This window comes from Homo sapiens, chromosome 4, assembly GCF_000001405.40.
Source record: "Homo sapiens chromosome 4, GRCh38.p14 Primary Assembly".
NCBI classification, from domain to species: Eukaryota; Metazoa; Chordata; class Mammalia; order Primates; family Hominidae; genus Homo; species Homo sapiens.
The window spans coordinates 169,847,420-169,868,758 of NC_000004.12; the positions used below are offsets into that span (position 1 = coordinate 169,847,420).

Genomic DNA, 21,339 nt, shown 5'->3' on the forward strand with positions numbered 1-21,339 from the left:
ATTAGCACTGTAGGTTCGAGGTCCTGCTAATTAAATTTATACTGCACCAGCAAATGCTTCAGAATTGTTACTTTTTCCTGTTATTTAACACTGGACATTCCTTTATCTGTGCAGGATGCATTTATTTACAGCCCGCCCCTTTCCCCCCCTCCAAAAAAAAAGTAGATTCAGAAACGCCTGCCCTGGGTAAAGGTGGAGAACAGCACTCTCCCATTAAAGTTTAAACCTCATGGCCACTGTCAAGATGGTGTCTAGAGTTTTACCAGTAGGTGAAATCCTCGTTAGAAGCTGTTAGGAAAAATACATGAAAAATACATAATGTTTCCCTTAGTTGTTCTGGTTCCTTAACATCTTTAAACTGATCATCTCTAGTTTCCAAGAGTTCTGGCTTTTGAGGGGAAATTAAGATTCTATTAGGTTGATGCAAAATTTTCTATATTAATTACTTCATATGGAATTACTTTTACATCAGCCTCATAGAATCAATTTCTATATTAGGTTGGTGCAAAAGTAGTTCTATATTAAGTAATTAATATAGAAAATTAATTTTTATATTAGGTTGGCATTACAATGGCAAAACCACAATTAATTTTGCACCAACCTAATATAGGTGAGCTACTTTTGTGACGAGTTTTATCAGACCCTGCCAAGGTGTCCTGGTACAAGTTTCCCAGGGAAGGGCTTGCAATAACGTGTGCAAATCTGTGTACTCACAGGGCTTGGGATTATGTGACAATCTGAATGGTGCAGAGCTCATAGGTCCCAGGAGTCTCCCATTTTCCCCCTCCTGTTTCCCTGTTCCCGTTGTTTGCTCTGCCCTTGGGTGCCCCACCCTGCCATGCCTGCCCTAGCTGGCTCACTTCATTCTGTGGGCCTCAGCTTCCTTCTGCTTTGAATCTCCGCTTCGTTCAACATTGGGTCACTAATACAGAGATCTTCAGGGTTGGCTGGGAGAATACCTTGTATCTTTTTGTGAGACAACATTTTCCTCCTTGCATGACCCTCATAGAACTGTCAACCTCTCTCCTTGTTTATGTTCCTGTGGGGTTAACCCTGACTAGAAAAGTGCAGGACATTCTGCCATCACGTGTAGAGGGAACATCGGGGAAGAGAGATGCAACCCTCTTTGTTTAAATATTCAGACAGATAAAGTGCAATATATAATTTTCCCCTCTCAGGGCTCCCACTGTGTCTATATTTACTTGGTGGTGCCGAGATGAATTTTAGGAGAAAGAAAAATGTCACCTGTGTTCATGATGCTGTGGCAAAGAGGTGTGTGCAGAAAGAGAACTTTTACAACTTAAGCATTATCTTCAAGGAAAGGATGAAGGACTTTGCCCTTGTGTAAAGGGATTTTAGGGATCAGAGTAGGTCAAAGATTGACTTTCACAGGGCTGGAGATCTTGACAGAACTAAAGACACTCATCTCTGTGTGACTGTGGCCCCTCATTACAACATGTCCCTAAGGAGCCCCAGTAGAAAGCCTCATTTCATGGGAAACTAGCTCGTGCTCACCGAGCTCTTTTCATAGAAGACATGCGTTATTATTGAACATTCATTAAGCTCTGAACGCTGTAGCTCTCAGGTCTTTTGCAAGAAGAGACTAGAAAAAAGCCATGTGGGAGTGATGATAGCAGTGCAATGGTCATTTATTGAACACATGCAAATTCCAGGTACTGAGCTAAGTATCTTACATGGATTCCTTCATGTCATCCTCATAACGACTCTGTAAGATGAGAACTATTAATATGTCCATTTGACAGATGGGGCCACTGAGCCCTAAAGGAGGTCAGCGGCTTGGCCAAGGCCACGTGATAGCTCAGTAGTGGCTGGCTGGTAGTGGGGTCCCATGTAGACCCCTGTCATGCGTGTGCTGGAAGAGAGGTCTGACCCACAGCCTTTCACATGATCAGGTACAAGCTGAAGACAGAAGAAAGAGGGCATCGGTGGTGGCAGCTGTAAGAGAAGAAGACTTTGGTCTTTTGACACATCGTGCTAGGAGGACAGCCTCAGTGTTCTTAGTGTGTGAAAGCAACTGTCTCATAATAAAAATAGGCAGATCAGTGATAATCAAGATTTAAAATAACCCTAAAGTGTGGAAAGAAGTGAATGGAAAAGTGACTCTTTCTCTAGGCGTTGTCAGTCCCTGCAGGCTGAGCTACCTGTTTTTGAAAAAGAACAGAAAACCAAGTCTAGGGTGGGGCCTGGAGCCAGCCACATACACTCTGACCTCGTTTTCTCTCAATGTCTGAACAAGCCTGGGAACATAAATACTTGAGCAAGAAAAACAAGTCAGGCCCTGAGTGGAGGACAGGCAGCAGCAAGTAAAGGAAGGGGAGCAGAGGTGAGAGCTAAGGCCCTCACAGGAAGGAGACCCAGGGTCTCCAAACCCTTCTTTCTGATATATACAGTGATCCTTTTCCATCTTATGTAAAGTGCTATGATCCTGAAGACTCAGTCCCCTCTTTCAGATAAGACTGCTGCCCCTAAGCTCTTTCTGAATGGAAACTCTGCCCTAAACAGGGGTTGAGGAACTTCTGGGGAAACTGAGGAGACTCAGTAGAACTGATTCTTTGAAGACAGCTGGTCTATCTGTGCTGGAGACTCTTCTATGGCCAGAGGTTGAAAGAAGGCTCTGCATGGTGGGGAGGAAATCAAGTTATTGTCCTAATTCTGCTAAGGAAAGAACAGCACAAGAAAACCAGTCCCTTGGTTTCCATTTTTCCCGAGTTTTATGCGTTTCACACATGCAGTGTATTCAAGCATTTCTTCTACAATTTTTTTAATTTGAGACTGAAATCCTCTTTTGAGCAGGAGTCAATATGTAGCTGATAGGCAATTTACCTGTTGTATATTTCCTATCAGGAAGTCAACATCATTTAGTGACAGACAGTAGAGCCATCACTAGCCAACATTACAGTTGCTTGTGACAGAGTTGAAAGTGCATAAACTTTGGCCTCAGTAGCCTTGGGCTTGAACCCTGGTTCTATTTACTACTTAACTTGTCTTTAGTCAGCTTTCCAAATCTCTCAGAGGCTCACTTTCCTCACTTGTTAAGTGGACATAAAATCTACCTTAAGCAATTGTGATAAGGATGAAATGAGATAAATAGAAGTGCCAACATATTCAATAAAAACTAGGTATCCTTATCTACGTGTAGATCTCTGACACAAGCAGTATTTATATAAGGATTGGAAGCTTGAAGCTAGAGCTGGCAAAAGGAAAAATGTGTTATGTATATTTGAAAAATCATTTATATTTGATGGAGAATGCATTGTACATCATTCTTCAAGCTGATTTACCTTGCTAATTACCTATCACTCTGGCTAATATTGGAATTAGCTTGTCATTCTCAGCAATCTCTGATGGCCCGTTTGGTAGGCGTGAGAGCCCAGAAGCTTTCTGAGTCATTTGGGAATAAATGAGTTGAGGGACTTCAGCTACAGTGAGAATGACCTCCTTTCCCCTCAAATTGATTATCTGTAAAAGAGAAATCCTTTGGAAACCTTTTTCCTTAAGTGTTCATTGCTTACTTTTAGTCTTTCTCCCACTTCTCATGCACTCTGTCATCTTAGCAGCACCAAAATAAGTTTTTTCCCCGACTGCTCACAAATTGCGAAGATATGAGTGTGTCCCCTAATGTTATATAGCATATTGCATCTCTGCCATAGACACCAGAAGTTTCAGCTTTCTCAATTTCACCTTATCTTTTCCATAACATCCGAGAGAAAAATGAAACCGTGGCAGAGTGTTTTCATTGATCAAGCAGGCTTTTAATGTCTTGCCTTTTGCTTCTTGGCAGTGTGACCTCTGATCTCAGCTATATGGCCCTCAGTCTTCAGATCATCCTTATCCTAACCAAACTAACATATCTTCATGCTTTAGATATTGAAAGACACATTGTTTTCTTTAATTGGAAAAAATACTAGTTACATAATGCCCTTTAATCTTAGTAATCAGCAAGCATACAAATAAAACCTGGAACATTGTTTTGACAAACCATTGCTTGCTTTCTGCCTTGTCATACTGGGTTTATAAACTCTGTACCATACACTTGAGACACCCTGAAAATCACAGTAATTACCATAGAACAAGCTTCCCCCCATCACTGGATTGTGAAGCAGGTGCACTCCACATATATTGGTTATAACTTTGTAGCCTATGTTGAACAAGTCATTTACTTTGACAAAAGTCAAAGTTGTATCTGTTATACCCTCTTAGCAAGCCAACAAATGCCTTGCGTGGATGTGAGTGGAGAGTTACCACCACTATATGTGATAACATAGCTTAAGATGAGGGGAGCTGAGGGGAGCTGTGCTGCCATATTTTGTAACCAGATACTGGAATCCTTTCTCAGCCATTGTCCTTAGCAGAGCTGTGTGGAGAAAATCTTAAGGCCTTCCATCAACTGATTCACCGATTTAGGATTCTTTTCTTGATATCTTTAAATTTTATTAAAATGATTAATCTATATTATATTAAATATGTATTAATTGAAAACATTATTTAAAATAAATATATTACCTATTTTCAAAATAAATACTATTTAAATATATCTAAATTATTTAAATAGGTATTAATAAAAACTATTTTCAATAAATATTATTGTAAATTAAAATCGGGAGTGAGGGGCCTGAAAAAATGTATCCCGCTTCTCAGACCAACTTTGGAAACAATAGGGAAATATAGCAAAAGAGTAAGGCAAATGGGAGTTCCAAATATCAACTGATACTGGGGAATGTAGCCTATGTCCATGAAAAGTGGGCTTGATGGAATACTGAACCCCATGATGATCAGACCAAACCACCCAGTCCGGAGCCTAACCCTGTAAAATTTCCCACAAAGAGGAACAGAACACAAGGCAAGCTCTCTGAAGTCAGGCTGGAGCTGGGAGTGTGGAGAGGTGGGCCGTGCCAGGGCTGTGCCTCACTGGCTGATCCTTCCACACCAGCAGAAGGGGCCAGGAGTGTTTCCCCTAGGGAGCTCCCTCTGCTCTCCACTTACAGGAAAGTCTCAGAACTGGAGAAAAATTCACCTCCATCCCTCCTCAGTGGTTAACTCTTTTAGGTAAGATTTAGATTCATGGCAGTTAAATTGTCACCTTTTGAACTTCTACATTTTCCCAGTTAAAATATTCCTATAGTGTTGGAATACAGAATGCATATTGTGAAAGAGAATAGAATCTCAGGACCCCAAACTCACTATGCCAAATGGAAAGTTAAGCTTAGGAACTGAGTCACACACACTGCCTTCCTTTTGTTCCCAAACAGATAACTGTGATTTCACAACCCTGTGTCACAGCCTCATCCATAAAAGCCAGGTTCCCACAATGTGGGAAGGCCACATATCTCCTCAGATGGCCTCCCTCACAAACTGCCCACAAGGAAATTCCTTGTGAGCCCCTCAATCTTTCAGGAGATATATCCCCCTTATAAACTAGCCCTCAAACCAAGTTCTATTGGATCTCGGTTCAATAGCACCTGACGATGTCAATTACCAACTTATCTTCACAGGTATAGGACAAGACCAGAAATCATCCCTCCACCCAACCTGAAATGAATGCACATGTTTACTTTTTCTTGTGTAAAAGGTAGATTTACTGAGCAGAAGACAAAATACAATTGACTTTTTCTTCTACCCTCTCTTTCCACATGTAAAATGTAGATTTATCGAGGCTAACCAGAGCCTCCCAAGAGTTTGCCTCACTGCCTACCCTTCCTCTCTTTTTCCCCTCCTGCTTACTCTTTCTCCTTTAAATGTTGAAGTTCCAAAAACCCCCTTTGGAAAAAGCACAGGTCACAGAGGTTCCTGTGACTTGTGTTTCTCCCAGGTGCTCCCTCAAACTTTGGCTAAATAAACCTCTATTGTGTGTCTCAGTCACTGATATGGTTGGGATCTGTGTCCCCACCAAATCTCATGTTCAATTGTAATCCCCACAGTTGCAGGAGGCCTGGTGGGAGGTAATTGGATCATAGGGGTGGATTCTTCATGAATGGTTAAGCCCCATACCTGTGGTGCTGTTCCTGTGAGATCTTGTTGTTTAAAAGTGTTTAGCACCTCCCCAGCCCCTCTTCCTCCTGCTCTGACCATGTGAAGTGCCTCACTCCCCCTTTGCCTTCCACCTTGATTGGAAATTTCCTGAGGACTCCCCAGAAGCAGAAGCTGCTATGCTTCCTGTATAGCCTGTAGAACCATGAGTGAATTAAAACTGTTTTCTTTATAAATTACCCCGTCTCAGGTATTTCTCTACAGTAGTGCAAGAATGGACTGAAACAGTCACTTCTTGGTTAACAATATGATGTAGGAAGACAGTACCACTATATTTCTACTATCTTACAGAATGCTTTTGAATTCTGATGATGCTCTATATAATGCTTCTAAGGGAAGAATGGAGTTAGTATTCCTGCCTACAGGTAGAGAAGAAAACTGAGGGGCTTATGTGAGAACTTGAAGACCCCTGAGAACACATGTCCACAGTGCTTGAGAAGCAGTGCATTTAGCCCTAAATGTTGCCACTTGATGACCACCTAGCAACACAAATGGGACTGTGAATGCACACACAACCCTGAAAAATCTCATGGATTGCTTGACTATAATGCACTTATCCTAACGATCCAGCCTATGCTTATACGAAAATTTTAAAGTTATCATAAACATGAAAATACAGAGTTAGAAACATTCTTTTGGAACCTTCTTTCTCCTGAAAATATCAATGCAGAAACTCAGGTTGAGAAGCACAGAGGCAGCACACATAGAATTAGGAGATGAAGCCATCAGAATGTGTCTCCCTGGTTGGTGGCTCCAGGGCTCAACAGCCGCTTTCAAGGCTAAGGTACAAATAAAGGAATTCCACTCCTCACGGTGCACCTGGCCACCTGCCAGGTTGCAAGCTTTGTTCTGGGTTCTCTCCAGACCTTGCTGTCTCATAGCTGTCCTGTCAGTTCAACATTTTAACCATACTCCTACCAGCCTGATGGGGGGAGACTGTGAAAGGAAGCTGAGTGTTTCCCTGAGACCTGAGGGACTCAGTAATGAGAAGGCGGCAGGGGAAACAGCTTGATGGAACAAGCAGAGTTTGGAGTTAATCTGGGTTCGAATTTGGGCTCCAGCTTCTAATTATGGGACATCTACAAATAATTTAACCTCTCTGTAAAAGGAAAATAAAAAGACTCTCTTCTAATCTTTTTCTTTTTTAAGATGAAAAATAATATTGTAAAGTGCCTGACATAGGAGACCACCAATAGGTAGTGGCAATGTGCTTTGTAGGTATCGTATCAGGGGACACAATGGTACACAGCTGGTGCCATTTATTCTTTTAGAAGAAATATCACGTGATGTTCATCTGACCCTATTTTCAGACTGCCTGAATTTAAATCCTAGTTCTACCACTTACTAGCTATGACACTGTGCAAGTAACCTTTCTGAGTGCCAGTTTTCTCACTCACCTTATACTTTTGTTGTAAAGATCAAGTAATATGTGGTAAGCCTTTAGCCTGAGTCTTGATGCATAGTAAGTGCTCAATAAATGTGACTTATACTGTTATTTAAGTTGTTTGGTTTTAGGCCTGCAGCTACCTGTATGAATACACAGACTAGTGCCTCTTGAACTTCAGAGCTCATACAAATCACCTGGTGAGCTTGTTAAAATGTACATCCTGATTCAGTACATGTACAGTGGGGCTGGAAATTCTGCATTTCTGTTACACTTCTTGCTGGTCCAGCGACCACATGTGGAATAGCAAAGTCATAGAAGCAGACTATTCTTAGTTTTATCTTCTTTGGTTAAAATGTTTTTGTTTTTGTTTTTTTGAGATAGGGTCTCCTTCTATCACCCAGGTTGGAGTGCAATGGCATGATCACCGTGCACTGTAGCATTGAACTCCCGGGCTCAAGCGATCCTCCTGCCTCAGCCTACTGAGTAGCTAGGACTACAGGTGTGCACCATCATTAGTTGCTATTTTTAAATTATTTGTAGAGATGAGGTCTTACTATGTTGCCCAGGCTGGTCTTGAACTCCTGGGCTCAAGCAATCCTTCTGCCTTGGCCTCCCAAAATGTTGGGATTATAGGCATGAGCCACTGTGCCTGACCTGAAATAAAAAATTTTTAGTAGAATCAGCTGCCTCTGTCTAATGCTTCTTTCTACCCGAACTACAAATGACCCTTGAACAAATTGGGTTTGAACTTCAAGGGTCCAATTAATGCACAGATGAAAATAGAGTGAGGTTCTGCAGGGCTGACTTCAGAACTTGAGTATGTATGAATTTTGTCATACATGGGGATGGGATGGGGGGTCCTGGCACCAGTCTCCCAAGGATACCAAGGGATGACTGTACTTTATGTGGTTAATTAATATTTTACTGGGTAATAAAAGGCTCTGGGAAGGGTTGGTTATCAGGCCTGCGCCTAACATTGGCAGGGTTCAAGGCAAGATTTCAAATGGAGGCCCATATGTTGTATGTCTAAATATGTAAAAGTTATAAATCAAATTGACAAATTTAAATAAAATATGTGCTATTCCCAACAAGCACATGGAAAGATGCTCAGCATCACAAATCATTAAGATAATGCAAATCAAAGCCACATAAAATATCACTTCATACCCATTAGGACGGCTACTAACAAAAAAGAAAACAAACAAAAAAGCAGAAAATAGCAAGTGCTGGGAAGGATGTGGAGAAACTGGAACCCTTGTGCATTGTTGGTGAGCATGTAAAATGGTGTGCTGCTATAAAATTAAAATAGAATTACCATATTATCCAATAATCTACTTCTGTACCCCAAAGAACTGAAAGCAGAGTCTTTAAATGATATTTGTCTATTCATGTTCCTTAACAGCATTATTCACAATAGCCAAAAGGTGAAAACTACCCAAATGTCTGTGGATAGATGAATGGATAAACAAAATGTGATTTACAACAGAATATTATTCAGCCTGAAAAAGGAACGATTCTGTCGCATGCTTCAATGTGGATGAACTTGGCGGTCTTATGCTAAATGAAGAAGTCAGTCATGGAAAGACAAATACTGTAGGATTCCACTTACATGCGGTACCTAGAGTAGTCTGATTTATAGAGAGAAAGAAAGTAGTGTAAACCAAAAAGTATCTGAGACAGGTCTCAATCAATTTAGAAAGTTGACTGAGCCTCCCGAGGTCCTGACAACATGTGCCCAAGGTGGTTGGGGCACGACTTGGTTTTATACATTTTAGGGAGACATGAGACATCAATCAATATATGTAAGATGTACATGAGTTCAGTTGGGAAAGGTGGGACAACTCAAAGCGGGGAGGGGGCTTCCAGGTCACAGATAGATAAGAGACAACAGTTGCATTCTTTTGAGTTTCTGATTAGCCTTTCACTGAGTGCACAATTTGCTGGAATAGTCACTTATGCCTTAGTCTGGCACAGTGAAACAACAAAGCAAAGGAAGCATCAAATATGCATTTGTCTCACATGAGCAGAGGGATGACTTGGAGTTCTGCCCATCCTTTGTCCACAAGGTACATAGCTTTTTGAGGGAGGTGTATAGCTTTTTAAATCTTTGTAGCTGTCTTACTGAGGAATAGACTGGGAGGCAGGTTTGCCTTATGCCAGTGGTCCCCAACCTTTTTGGCACCAGGAACCAGTTTCATGGGTGGGAGGAGATTGGTTTCAGGATGAAACTGTTCTACCTCAGATCATCAGGCATGAGATTCTCATAAGGAGTGTGCAACCTAGATCCCTTGCATGTGCAGTTCACCATAAGCTTCGTGATCCTGTGAGAATTTAATGCCTTGGCTGATCTGACAGGAGGTGGAGCTCAGGTGGTAATTAATATTTTACCCACGGCTCACCTCCAGTGGTGCCACCCAGTTCCTAACAGGCCATGGACTGGTACCAGTCTGTGGTTTGGGGGGCTGGGGATCCCTGCCCTACACAGTTCCCAGCTTGACTTTTCCAGTTGGCTTAGTGATTTCGGGGTTTCAAGATTTATTTTCCTTTCACAGTAGCATGGTGGTTGCCAGGGGCTGGGAGGAGGGGGAGGTGGGGAGTTGTTTAGTGAGTAGAGAGTTTTAGTTTTGTGAGATGAAAAGAATTCTACAGACTGGTTGCACAACCACGTGAATATAGTTACCATGACTGAACTGTACACTTAAAAATGGGTAAGATGGTAAATTTCATATTATGTGTCTTTTACCACAGTTTCAAAAAGTGCTATCTTACTGTTTTTACAAATATACATTTGTAATAACAAAATTTAAAAATGCTTGCAGCCTGGCATGGTGGCTCATACCTGTAATCCTAGCACTTTGGGAGGCTGAGACAGGAGGATTGTTTGAGCTCAGGAGTTTGAAACCAGTCTGGGCAATGTAGTAAGGCCTCATCTTTACTTTTAAAATAATTTTAAAAATGCTTGCACATTTATACTTTTATAGGACTTGAAGCCAGCAAAGTTTCAAAGATACTGGAATTATGTGTGGATATTCTCTTGACTGGCTATGTTTAGAAGTCTGGATGAAGAATAAAGACATTCCCAACTGATAAACTATTACCTATCTCACATAACTTATTTATTTCTTCTATCATTTCAGCAAAATCACTGATTATTTTGTTTTAATGAAGACTTTTATATAATTCAGTTGACATTGAAATTAGACAAACTTTCTCAATCACTTTGGTTCTTAGGTAGTTTTTTTTTTTTTTATTTGTTCGTTTGTTTTTTGAGACAAGGTCTTTCTCTGTCACTGAGACTGGAGTGCAGTGGTACGATAATGGCTAACTGCAGTCTCAACCCCTTGGACTCAAGCAATCCTCCCACCTCATCCTCCCAAATAGCTTGGACCACAGAAGTGTACCATCATACCCAGCTAATTTTTAATACTTTTTATAGAGATGGGTCTCATTATGTTGCCCAGGCTAGTCTAGAACTACTGGTCTCAAGCAATCCTCCTGCCTCAGGTTCCCAAAGTATGGGAATGATGGGTGTGAGCCACTGCGCCCAGCCTCTTGGGTAGTCTTTTTCATTTATTTTTTACTCAATTTTTCATTATTTAATTTCTATTCTCAGGTGGTCTTTATTACTACATTAATTTTAAATTCATTTTTCATCCTTTAATTTTTATTCAGTTTAGATAAACCTTGCTGAAATGATAGTAACTAGGATTTGTAATAAAACTCTTCAACAGTAAACACTTGGATTTGGAAATAAACCATGAATTTTACCTTTCTTGTTCAGATATTATAATAGGGTCACATACAATACATTATCATTAGCACAAAAAACATTATAAAACATTTTAAATTCAACGGTTATGCTGCTATCATTTGCACTGTGGTTTTCACTGTCTCTCAAACCAGTATGTAGAAACACATAGTAATATCAAGAATCTGTATCATCCTTCATGTGTGTTTCATTTATGTGTATTCTGTATATACAAATGTAAGAGTAATATACATTTTTTGATACGGCAGATGTCCCGTAGCCTCTGTGTGCACCTGACACACATACCATATTAATTCATGTATTCCTCTGATCTCATAATTTGGAACACAAAGAGAAGAAAATGGACACAATATTTCGAAGTCCGCAGATTTATGTTTATGCAAAAATGAGAGTGGAAGTTCAGAGTTACAGGTCACACTGTGCCAACAGGTGCTGAGAGACAGAGATGTCAGGCACTCTTTTTAAAAAATTATTATTTAAAAAAATTTTAGATTCAAGGGGTACATGTGCTTGTTTGTTACACGGTATATTGCATGCTGTGGGAACTGGATTTCTAGTGTACTCAGTACCCAAATAGTGATTACTGTACCTGATAGGTAATTTTTCAACCGTCATCAGATGCTGTTTATTTATTCATTTATTTATTTTTGAGACAGAGTCTCGCTCTGTCGCCCAGGCTGGAGTGCAGTGGTGTGATCTCGGCTCACTGCAACCTCTGCCTTCCGGGTTCAAGTGATTCTCCTGCCTCATCCTCCCGAGTAGCAGGGACTACAGGTGCATGCCACCAAGCCAAACTAATTTTCTTTTTTTCCTTTTTTTTTTTTTTTTTTCAGTAGAGATGGGATTTCACCATGTTGGCCAGGCTGATCTCCAACTCCTGGACTCAAGTGATCTGCCCACCTCGGCCTCCTGAGTGCCGGGATTACAGGCGTGGGCACCACGCCCAGCCAGGTGCTGTTTAAGACATCTTTAATGAGTGCCCTGAGCAGGAGCTACGGCACCACCTCACTGTTGTTTATATGTTGATGGCATGCAGGGCCCCTCTTCCCCATTTCTAAGAGCAATACTGTTGGGAATTATTATTATTATTATTTTTTCAGATACTTTCAGGGGTCATTGTGGTCAATGAATACAATGAGCCAAACTGAAAGTGATATCCATTTTTTTTTTTTTTCACGGACTGCAACTGCTAAAGAAAGAGGCAAAAAGAAAGTGCTGGCTCCCGGTGTTCCATTTCCCCCCACGGAACAGCACGGGGTGAGGGTCAGGTGGCACACAGCCCAGATGAGGGGAGTTGTATGACTGACTGCCCATGAGTCCTCAGTCAAAAGCTTCTTGTGGACCCAGGAGGGCCAGGAGAGGGGAGCGGGGGAAGGGCCAGCAGTGGGAAAGTGCTGATTCCAAGTGGAGGAATGTGCCTCAGCCAAAGCCTCTGGATAAGAAGGTCTCAGTGGAAGCTCCTGGGAAGCAAGGAGGCCTCTGAACGGAGGCACCTAGAATGATGTCACAGTGAGCACCGCTGGCCCAGAGGAGGCCGGTGGGAGGGGTGTGGGATCCTCTGTCCTCAACTTTGACTCCCTCCAGAAAATTGCACGGCACTGGCAGTGCACCGAGTCTGTGTGCAGTGGGCAGCTCTCTGCCAGGGGCCTTGCCCGTAAAACCTTGTACCGGCCCATGGTCAGGCTCGAAAGGCCACACGTAGGGCTTTGGCCTGGAACTGGACAACTCAGTTACTAGGTGCTTCACCTTATGTCAGCCTCACAACAATTCTACGAAGTAGATATGATCTCCCTTTTAACAGATGAGGAAATGGAGGCTCAGGGTGCATAACTTGTCCAGTGTCACACAGCGAATGAACGGCAAGACCAGGACTTGAATTCTGATCTGTTTCACAGTTAGGCTCACGCATCTTCCTCCAGAGCATATCGTCTGGTATGAACTTCTGGGAGAGTATTAAATTAATATTGTCCCCCTCATCCAGGAGCTCACACTCTTCTTGGTGAAACAGGGCATACAAATAAGTTATACAGAAAAGAGACTTAGGCAGGGCATGATGGTTCACTTGTATAATCCCAGCAATTTGGGGGCCTGAGTCAGGAGGATTGCTTGAGGCCAGGGGTTTGAGACCAGCCTGGGCAACATAGGGAGATCCAGTCTCTATAAAAAATAAAAAAATTAAAAAAAATTAGCTGAGCATGGTGGTGTGCACCTGTACTCCCAGCTATTCAAGAGGCTGAGGTGAGAGAATTACTTGAGCCCAGAAGATTGAGGCTGCAATGAGCCATGATCGTGTCACCGCACTCCAGCCGGGGCAATGGAGAGAGACTCTGTCAAAAAAACAGAGCAAAACAAACACACAAAAAAGAGATTCCATTTACTTGCAAACAAAAATATCAGTCAACTGGTCTGGACTATATACTGCATCCAGCCAGCTATCCCCTGCTGCCATACAATGCGGTTTGTCCTGTAGAGCAGAGATGTGGCAAGCCAAATCTGGCCATGCTCATTTGTTCAGACACCATGGCTGCTTCCTCGCTACTGTGGCAAAGCTGAGTAATTGCCATGGAGATTGTATGGTCCATAAAGCTGAAAATATTTCCTAACTGGCCCTTTATAGAAGAAGTTATAGAAATTGCTGCGGCAGTGCATCAAAAGAACAAATAGCAGAAATGAACATGCAACACGTGAGTATCTAGCAGAACAAACCAACTGCTATAATGAACATGTCCTTAGCCTAGCCCTTTACAGGAAGGATAAGTGCCTTAGTTCTTACAAAAGATATCTTTTTTCCATTACATGTTCTCAAAATTATAAATAAATACCTATTTTAAGACTCTGCATATGTAGGTTTTGAACTGGTTTGTTGATTGATTGATTCATTTCTTGCCATTTTAAGCAGTGACTTTTGTTGAAGAGTTAAAAGCTAAAAACAAATTTTAAAAACCTTCAGCATGCTTCTCTCACAATATGTGTCATTTTGATGAAGTTATCAGCTAGACACAAGATGAATCAGACTATTAATCCAAACTGCTGGAGCTCACATCTGTGTATTTCACATATGGGGAAGTATTTTAAGTATAGATTGCATCCTCTTGGCTCTTTATAAACAGGGTCCTTAGTTACCTGAAGGCTTTATAACCTTCAGCCTGGTGACTGGTTCTCAAATTTCATGTAATGATTAGCCTGAGTGGAAAAACAGGAAAAGGCAGCAGTGTAACGGGGAGGAGATGGCTTTGGGAGCCTGGAGTTCTAATCTTGGCTGTGCAGCTCCCTGGCTCACCCAGACATTAAATCTCTCTCTGTCCTAATTTCCTATAACCTGAGTTTGGAGATAGATGCTCACCTTTGTGTGTGTAGGAGTAGAGCATCCAAACTCAATTCCTCTCATGCCTTCTGTCTGAAAACTGAGTACATTTCTCTGCATCTGTGGGATCCTTAACAGAACTAACCCACATTAGCTGTTAATTTCAACATGTGTTTAGAGACTGTTCTCAGAGCTCATTAGCGTCTTCCTGGTTATGGATGAGGTATTGTGGGAGGCTGGGTGGACTGAATCAGGAAAGAAGGCTATGGTGTGTTAAGTAGTCAAATTCACACCTTGTGAGAGTGTAGTGTTCCCTGTAATCCTGGTTCGAGGAAAGAAATGGGAAAGAACCCTTCAGTCTGATCTGCAGAAATTCTAAGCTTTCCTTTCCCAGAAGTATTCACTCTACTCAGGTGACCAACCAGGGTCTGGCTTGGACATCAAAATCACTCAATACAGCCCTTCTCATCAACTTCTACAGGACAAGACTGGTCAATGCGAGGCTCACTGCCCTCACCTGCAGGTATCATGCTCTTTGGAGGGTCTGGAACCAGCTCCCTGGAGTCTGGGAACTTAGCTGAAGTGTTGTGGTTTCCGTTTTTTCTTCTGAGGGTCAAGCCAGGCTCTGGCCTCATTTGGTTGGTCCCCGTGGAGTCGAGCAATTTCTGAATTCTCTCTTATAAGACAAGGGGAGAACTTAGCCTATTCTTCTCAGGGGATTATTTGTGAGTTGCTGGTTTAGTGTTTTCCAATTCTTATATATAATTTATGTTATTAACTGCTTGTTTTATCTGTTGTTGAGAGAGGTGTGTTAAATTTCTATGAGACTATGGATCAATTTCTCTTTGTAATTCTGCCAATTTTTGTTTTGAAAAATTTGAAGCTACATCTTAGATGCATATAGGCTCAAAGTTGTTTTATCTTTCTTGTAAAACTTTCCTCTTTATCATTATGATTTTAGCCTTCCCTTTCCTACTCTTTTTTTTTTTTTAATCTGAAAGTCTATATTGTTTAACACTTGCCTGGTATATCTAGTTTCCACCCATTTAGGTTTAATGTATTTAATTTTGCTGGTGTAATAAAAACACTATGGTGGGTATGGCAGGGTCCTGAGTTTTCTGCAATGAAACTCCAGTCATTCTTGGATCTTTAAGATGATCATGAAATTTCTGATTGGGAAACTGAGTCTCTTTGCAGAGATCAGAGTGAAAAAGTTGTGCCTTAGAGATGACGTTCAAGGTAGCTTCAGCCAAGCTACCCAGAGTGGCAGCAATCAATACCGTCCACTAGCAGCAGCCTGTTGGGCAGGAGGACAGAGACAACCACTACAGAAGGGAAGGAATCAGATGCACAAGCTGAGCCACAGCACCCACTTTGCTCATTGTTTCCCCAGTAGTCTTGCCTCAAAGAGATGATGTCTTGCTGAGACGATGGCATTATGAATGACAGTAGCTACTTCCTTGGAGTGCCCAATATCTGGATGAATAAGTCATTATTCACAAGAGCCAAAGATACCTTGAAACTGGCTAGTTACCCCTTTTATGTCTCTGAAAGGATGCCACCTTTAGGACCTTGTCCAGGAGGAAATCAGGGAAGCAAACGAGAGATTTCTTTCAGGAACTTGACCTTCATGTTCCTTAATCAGATGGCCCAGCTTGGTGTCCAAGAACAATTCCTATCTCTATCCTTGCCCTCTCTGCTTGTCCTTACCGCCAAAATAATCTGCAGTCTTTTTTTTTTAATATAGAGATGGGGTCTCACTATGTTGCCCAGGCTGACCTTGAACTCCTAAACTCAAGGGATCCTCCTGCCTCAGCCTCCTAAAGTGCTGGGATTACAGGTGCGAGCCACCACCCCAGCCTCATCTACAATCTTTAGCCTTTGGTGATTTCTGGGAGAAGCCATAGTGTACTTTGACCATCAACTTGTTTTCAACCTTTCTGTATTCATATGTTTTTGATGTGTCTCCTTTGAGATATAGCTGATTGAAAAAAATCAGTAAAAAAATTCTTACTTTGAACTGCTGAATTAATTTATCCATTCATTTATTAGGAGTACTGATATATTTTGTTTTATTTGTATTACCTACCTTGTGCTTCCATTTTACCTTCTTCCTGGCTTATTTTTGTTTCTTTTTTCCTTACTTCCCTTTATTCTTTCCTTTTTTATGGTTTTGAAGTTATACATTCTGTTTCTATTTTTATGCTAATATTTAAATTTTAAATACATATGATTGACTTAACAAAGTCCAAAATAATATCCCTTCTGGCAAACTTAGTGCTTTAATTCTACCTTCTCTATCCCATTTTCAGTGTGATAAATGTGCAGTAGTTTAGGTCTTCCTCATTTTTAGCCCTCTCTTCAAAGTTTTTTCTTTTTTTTTTTCTTTCAGGAAATACTTACCTGCCAGGCACGGTGGCTCATGCCTATAATCCCAGCATTTTGGGAGGCCAAGGCGGGTGGATCACTTGAGGTCAGGAGTTCAAGGCCAGCCTGACCAACATGGTGAAATCTTGTCTCTACTAAAAATACAAAAAATTAGCCGGGCGTGGTGGTGCATGCCTGTAATCCTAGCTTCTTGGGAGGCTGAGGCAAGATAATTGCCTGAACCCGGGAGGCGGAGGTTGTAGTAAGCCAAGATCGTGCCACTGCACTCCAGCCTGGGTGAGAGAGTGAGACTCTGTCTCACAAAAAAAGAAAAGAAAAGAAAAAAAATACTTACCTACATTTACCTTATGTTTACCGACTACTATGCTCATATTTTCTTCAGCTCAATCCTTTCTTTTTATTTATTTATTTTTTATTTTTTTTGAGACAGGGTCTCACTCTGTTGCCCAGGCTGGAGTGCAGTGGTACAATCCCGGCTCACTGCAACCTCTGCCTCCCAGGTTCAAGTGATTCTTCTGCCTCAGCCTCCCAAGTAGCGGGACTACAGGCATGAGCCACCATGCCAGGCTAATTTTTGTATTTTTAGTGGAGATGGGGTTTCACCATGTTGGCTAGGCTGGTCTTGAACCTCTGACCTCAGGTGATCCACCAGCCTCAGCCTCCCCAAATGCTGGGATTACAGGCGTGAGCCACCGCACCCAGCCCAATTCTTTCTTTTTACTCCAGTTTTCTTCAGCCTCCAATTCTTTCTGTAAGGATCTGTAAATGATAACTTCTTTCAATTTTGTTTGTCTGAAAATTTTTATTATTGTATCTAATTCTTGAATGATACCTTAACTGGGTCTAGAATTTTAGCACTTTGAAGATACTGTGAAAATTGCAGTTGGAAACTAATTATTGTACCATTGCTGGTAATCTGTCTTTTGCTGTGTGTTTACTTTTAAGGTTTTCTCTTTATTTATATTGAGCTTCAGTTTCACTCCCATTTGTCCAGGTGTGGGTTTACTCTTATTTATCCTGTTCCGTACTCAGAGCACTTTAAATCTGAGGACTTAGATTTTTTATTCAATTCTGAGTACATTTTTCCCTTGAAACTCAAATATACATATATGAATTTCTCATTCTATATTCCATAATTAAACTCTTCTTTAATATTGTCTTACATATTCATTGTGCTGAATTCTAGTTAATTTCTTCAAAGCTGAGCCATTTAATCTATTAATGTCAGTGATTATATTTTTACAAGTCAAGCACTAAATAAACGTCAGCTATTATTATCCTTCCTTGAATAATTTCAAACATACTGATTGCATAGTCTTTCTCAGGTTGTCCTATTACCTTGCATTCTTGGAGGTATTACTCTTCCCATTGGTCACATCTGCTGTCTCTCCCTTAAGGTGGATTGCTTCTTTGTAAGGTTTGTCATTTTTTCATGTCTGGCTTATTATTATTATTTTTTAGCTAATTTTGTTTTTTATTTGGGCTTACAGAGTGATGTGGGATTTTCTTCTAATGGTTCCACTTGGATTGTCACTGGTTTGAGGTAACTTTTTGTATTAATTTCTCAACAGTACAATCTAGACCTACCCATGGTGCAAGCCGGCAGTGTTTTACAGGACACTCTTTGAACTTCGTTTGCACTTTATGTACATGCATATACATGTAGTTATGTTTTACCTAATTTTTGAAATAATCATAAGGAGATAGGCTCTGTGTTTGTTCTATTCAAGAGTTTGCAGGATTTGGAGTTTTTTATTCTTCATGTCTGCCTGGTAAAATGTTTGTATGCAGCCAACTGTTCAATATTTGGCTTTTCCTCACAAGACACCATTCCCTAAACTCTCAGAATTTAAGAAAAAAAACTCCCTATTTTATTTATCCTGATGATGGTAATAAATTGGCCAAGGAGCCATCATAAAAAAATAAAATCAGACAAACCGACCATTATAGGCTGATTATAATAAGAAAGTCTTTCTTGCATGGGGCATTTAGCTAAGCCTTACATTCATAAACACTGCTAAGTCAATTATTTATTTTACATATATGTTTGAACCTTTGAAATAATGAGATTAATCTAAAATGTTAGGTTTGCTGAAAATGCCTGGCATTGTGATTCATTTGCATTTTCATTTTTTGCTGTCAACAATTAGGTGGACATTTTAAAACTTTTCTTAGGGAAAGAAAAATTCACTACATGCAAAGATTTCCATACATTTCCGGGGAGTTCAGGGACTTCTTGGGGCCCAACCAAATACATCGAGTTAAGATTCTTTGACTTATGTGGTATTTGGCTTAGAGTTCATCATATTTGAGCACCCTTGTTAGGGTATACGAGGAGGCCCCCAATGAGTATCACCCCTCCTTTCCATCCCGTCTCTCAATAATTTAATAAAATTTTAAAAATGTGCAGTGTCTAAAAAATGAATTATGTTCAAATATGAACAGAATTGAAAATGAAATTCTTTTCAAATATCAAAATTGAGGTCAAGTTGGAGGATGTATCTTAACGGAAAGCAAAATGGCTGTCCTAACTAGATCTCAGGATTAGTCTGATTCACCAGCGCAGACTCTGGTAGTCTGGTCCAGGGCTGTTGTCTCTGCGAATTCTGCCAGGGTAATACTAAGGCGGGGAAGAGAAGTTCCTGCAGGCTATGCTCCTTCTGAGGAGTGAAGCTATGATATTGATCATTGGATTTCCCAAGTTTATCCAAGATCATGGAGTGGATATTGATCATTGCATTTCCCAAGTTTACCAATCAGTTAAGTTCCTCCAGTTCCCCTAGGGTGGAGGGAGTAGCGGTGGGGAGAGGCTTGGGAAAAATCCCTCCCCATGGAAACCAGGAGGGAGCAAGACATTTCTCCTCAGTATTGCTGACTAAGTGTGTGTAAGAGGGATTCGACTGCTTAAAAATTTGCTATGAAAAATTCTCGACTTGAGTAATTTACACCCAGATTACCTGGCTGGAATTGCTGCTGCTGGCCGCGCAGCCGCCTCATCATAAGAGGCACTTGCGGAGGTTGATGGTGAGGGGCTCTTCCGGGTACCACTCTGTCTCCCTGGCAACGTGGCTCCACTTCCACAGCTCAGAAGAACACAAGTTTTCCAGTCCATCGTCCGCGTGAGGAGAAATTACATGCAATTTACAGAATACCTTGACGTGATACTCTTCATCCTCACAGGGTTACGTTTTTAAAGGAATTTACAGTAGGATTCAGGGGGCTGATTTAAAAAACACAAAAAGGTAAAGTCTGTCCATCTTGAGACATTATCCTTTAAGTTGATGCTAATTGAGATGAATCCATTGCTTTTAAAAACGTAGCACTTAAAAATCCATTCTTATTCACTTTCCTAAAATCTTAATTTTTTTTCTGACGATTGTTGGCTTTTACCTCTTTAAGTCACAAACCTATGACCATTTTGCACTGCTTTTCATTGCCCGGATGCTTTAGGTCATTCATAAACTCCAGTCTTTTCTCCTCTCCGATTCTTTCCCACCCTTCTAATATAGTGACTCATCTCATTATGTTCCTAAAAGCCTGACAAAGATAGTGTGTATCGATTAAGAATCCTTTAAGACATGCTTTTCTCATAAATGCACCTTTGTGTAGCTGCTCTGGGTCTGAAATTTTGGGCTCTCATTTCACTCGAACTGGGATGAACATTTCTGGGGACAAAACAGCTCAATGGCGTTTGTCAGGACCCCGTGGTTATACCCAGGAATGCAGAACACAGCTTTGAGTCACACAATCAGGACCCCCAGTCATGCCTCAGTAGTAAACACCGAGTTGTGAGTATGAATACTTGCTTAGAAGGAAACCTAAATGGCTTTTCTTGGATTCCAAGTCCATCTTTTGGTTTCATTTCTGACAGAGCTCTAATTTTTCTCAGACTTCTAGCCTGCTCTCAAAAGTAATACATGACATTGTTGCATGGAAAAAGTGTTAATGTAAATTTTGAGCCAGATAATTTACCCTATATTTTTCAGTTAAGTCTTTTTAAATTAAAAAACAAATTTTAACTATTGTAGGTACATAAGAGGTATATATATTTATGGGGTACATGTGATGTTTTGACACAGGCATGCCGTGTGTAATAATCAAATCAGGGTAATTAGGGTATCCATCACCCAAAGCATTTATTTCTTTGTCTTAGGAACATTCCGATTCTGCTCTTTTAGTTATTTTAAAATATACAATAAATAATTGTTGACTATCATCACCCTGTTGTGCTATCAAATACTAGATCTGATTCCTTCTATCTATTTTTGTACCTATTGATCATCCCCACTTTGTCCCCATTCCCACTACCCTTCCCTCAGTTAAGTCTTAAACAACTATGTTTTGCAGATGAGGAAACCAAGGCTTTAAAAGAAAGCATAGAATTCTAGATTTGAACCCAGAACCATCTAATCTTTGCCTGCTCTACAAGAGTTCTTATTTTAA

General features: G+C 40.8%; 1 long non-coding RNA gene across 1 annotated transcript; it reads right to left on the bottom strand.

Annotated features, from left to right (window-relative positions):
- Positions 1-1,631: 1,631 nt before the first annotated feature.
- Positions 1,632-19,916, bottom strand: LOC124900810 (uncharacterized). The gene is made up of 2 exons (XR_007058362.1): positions 19,854-19,916; positions 1,632-1,956 (listed from the first exon to the last, which is right to left on the bottom strand). It is a non-coding gene; the product is annotated as an uncharacterized LOC124900810 (long non-coding RNA).
- Positions 19,917-21,339: the final 1,423 nt, after the last annotated feature.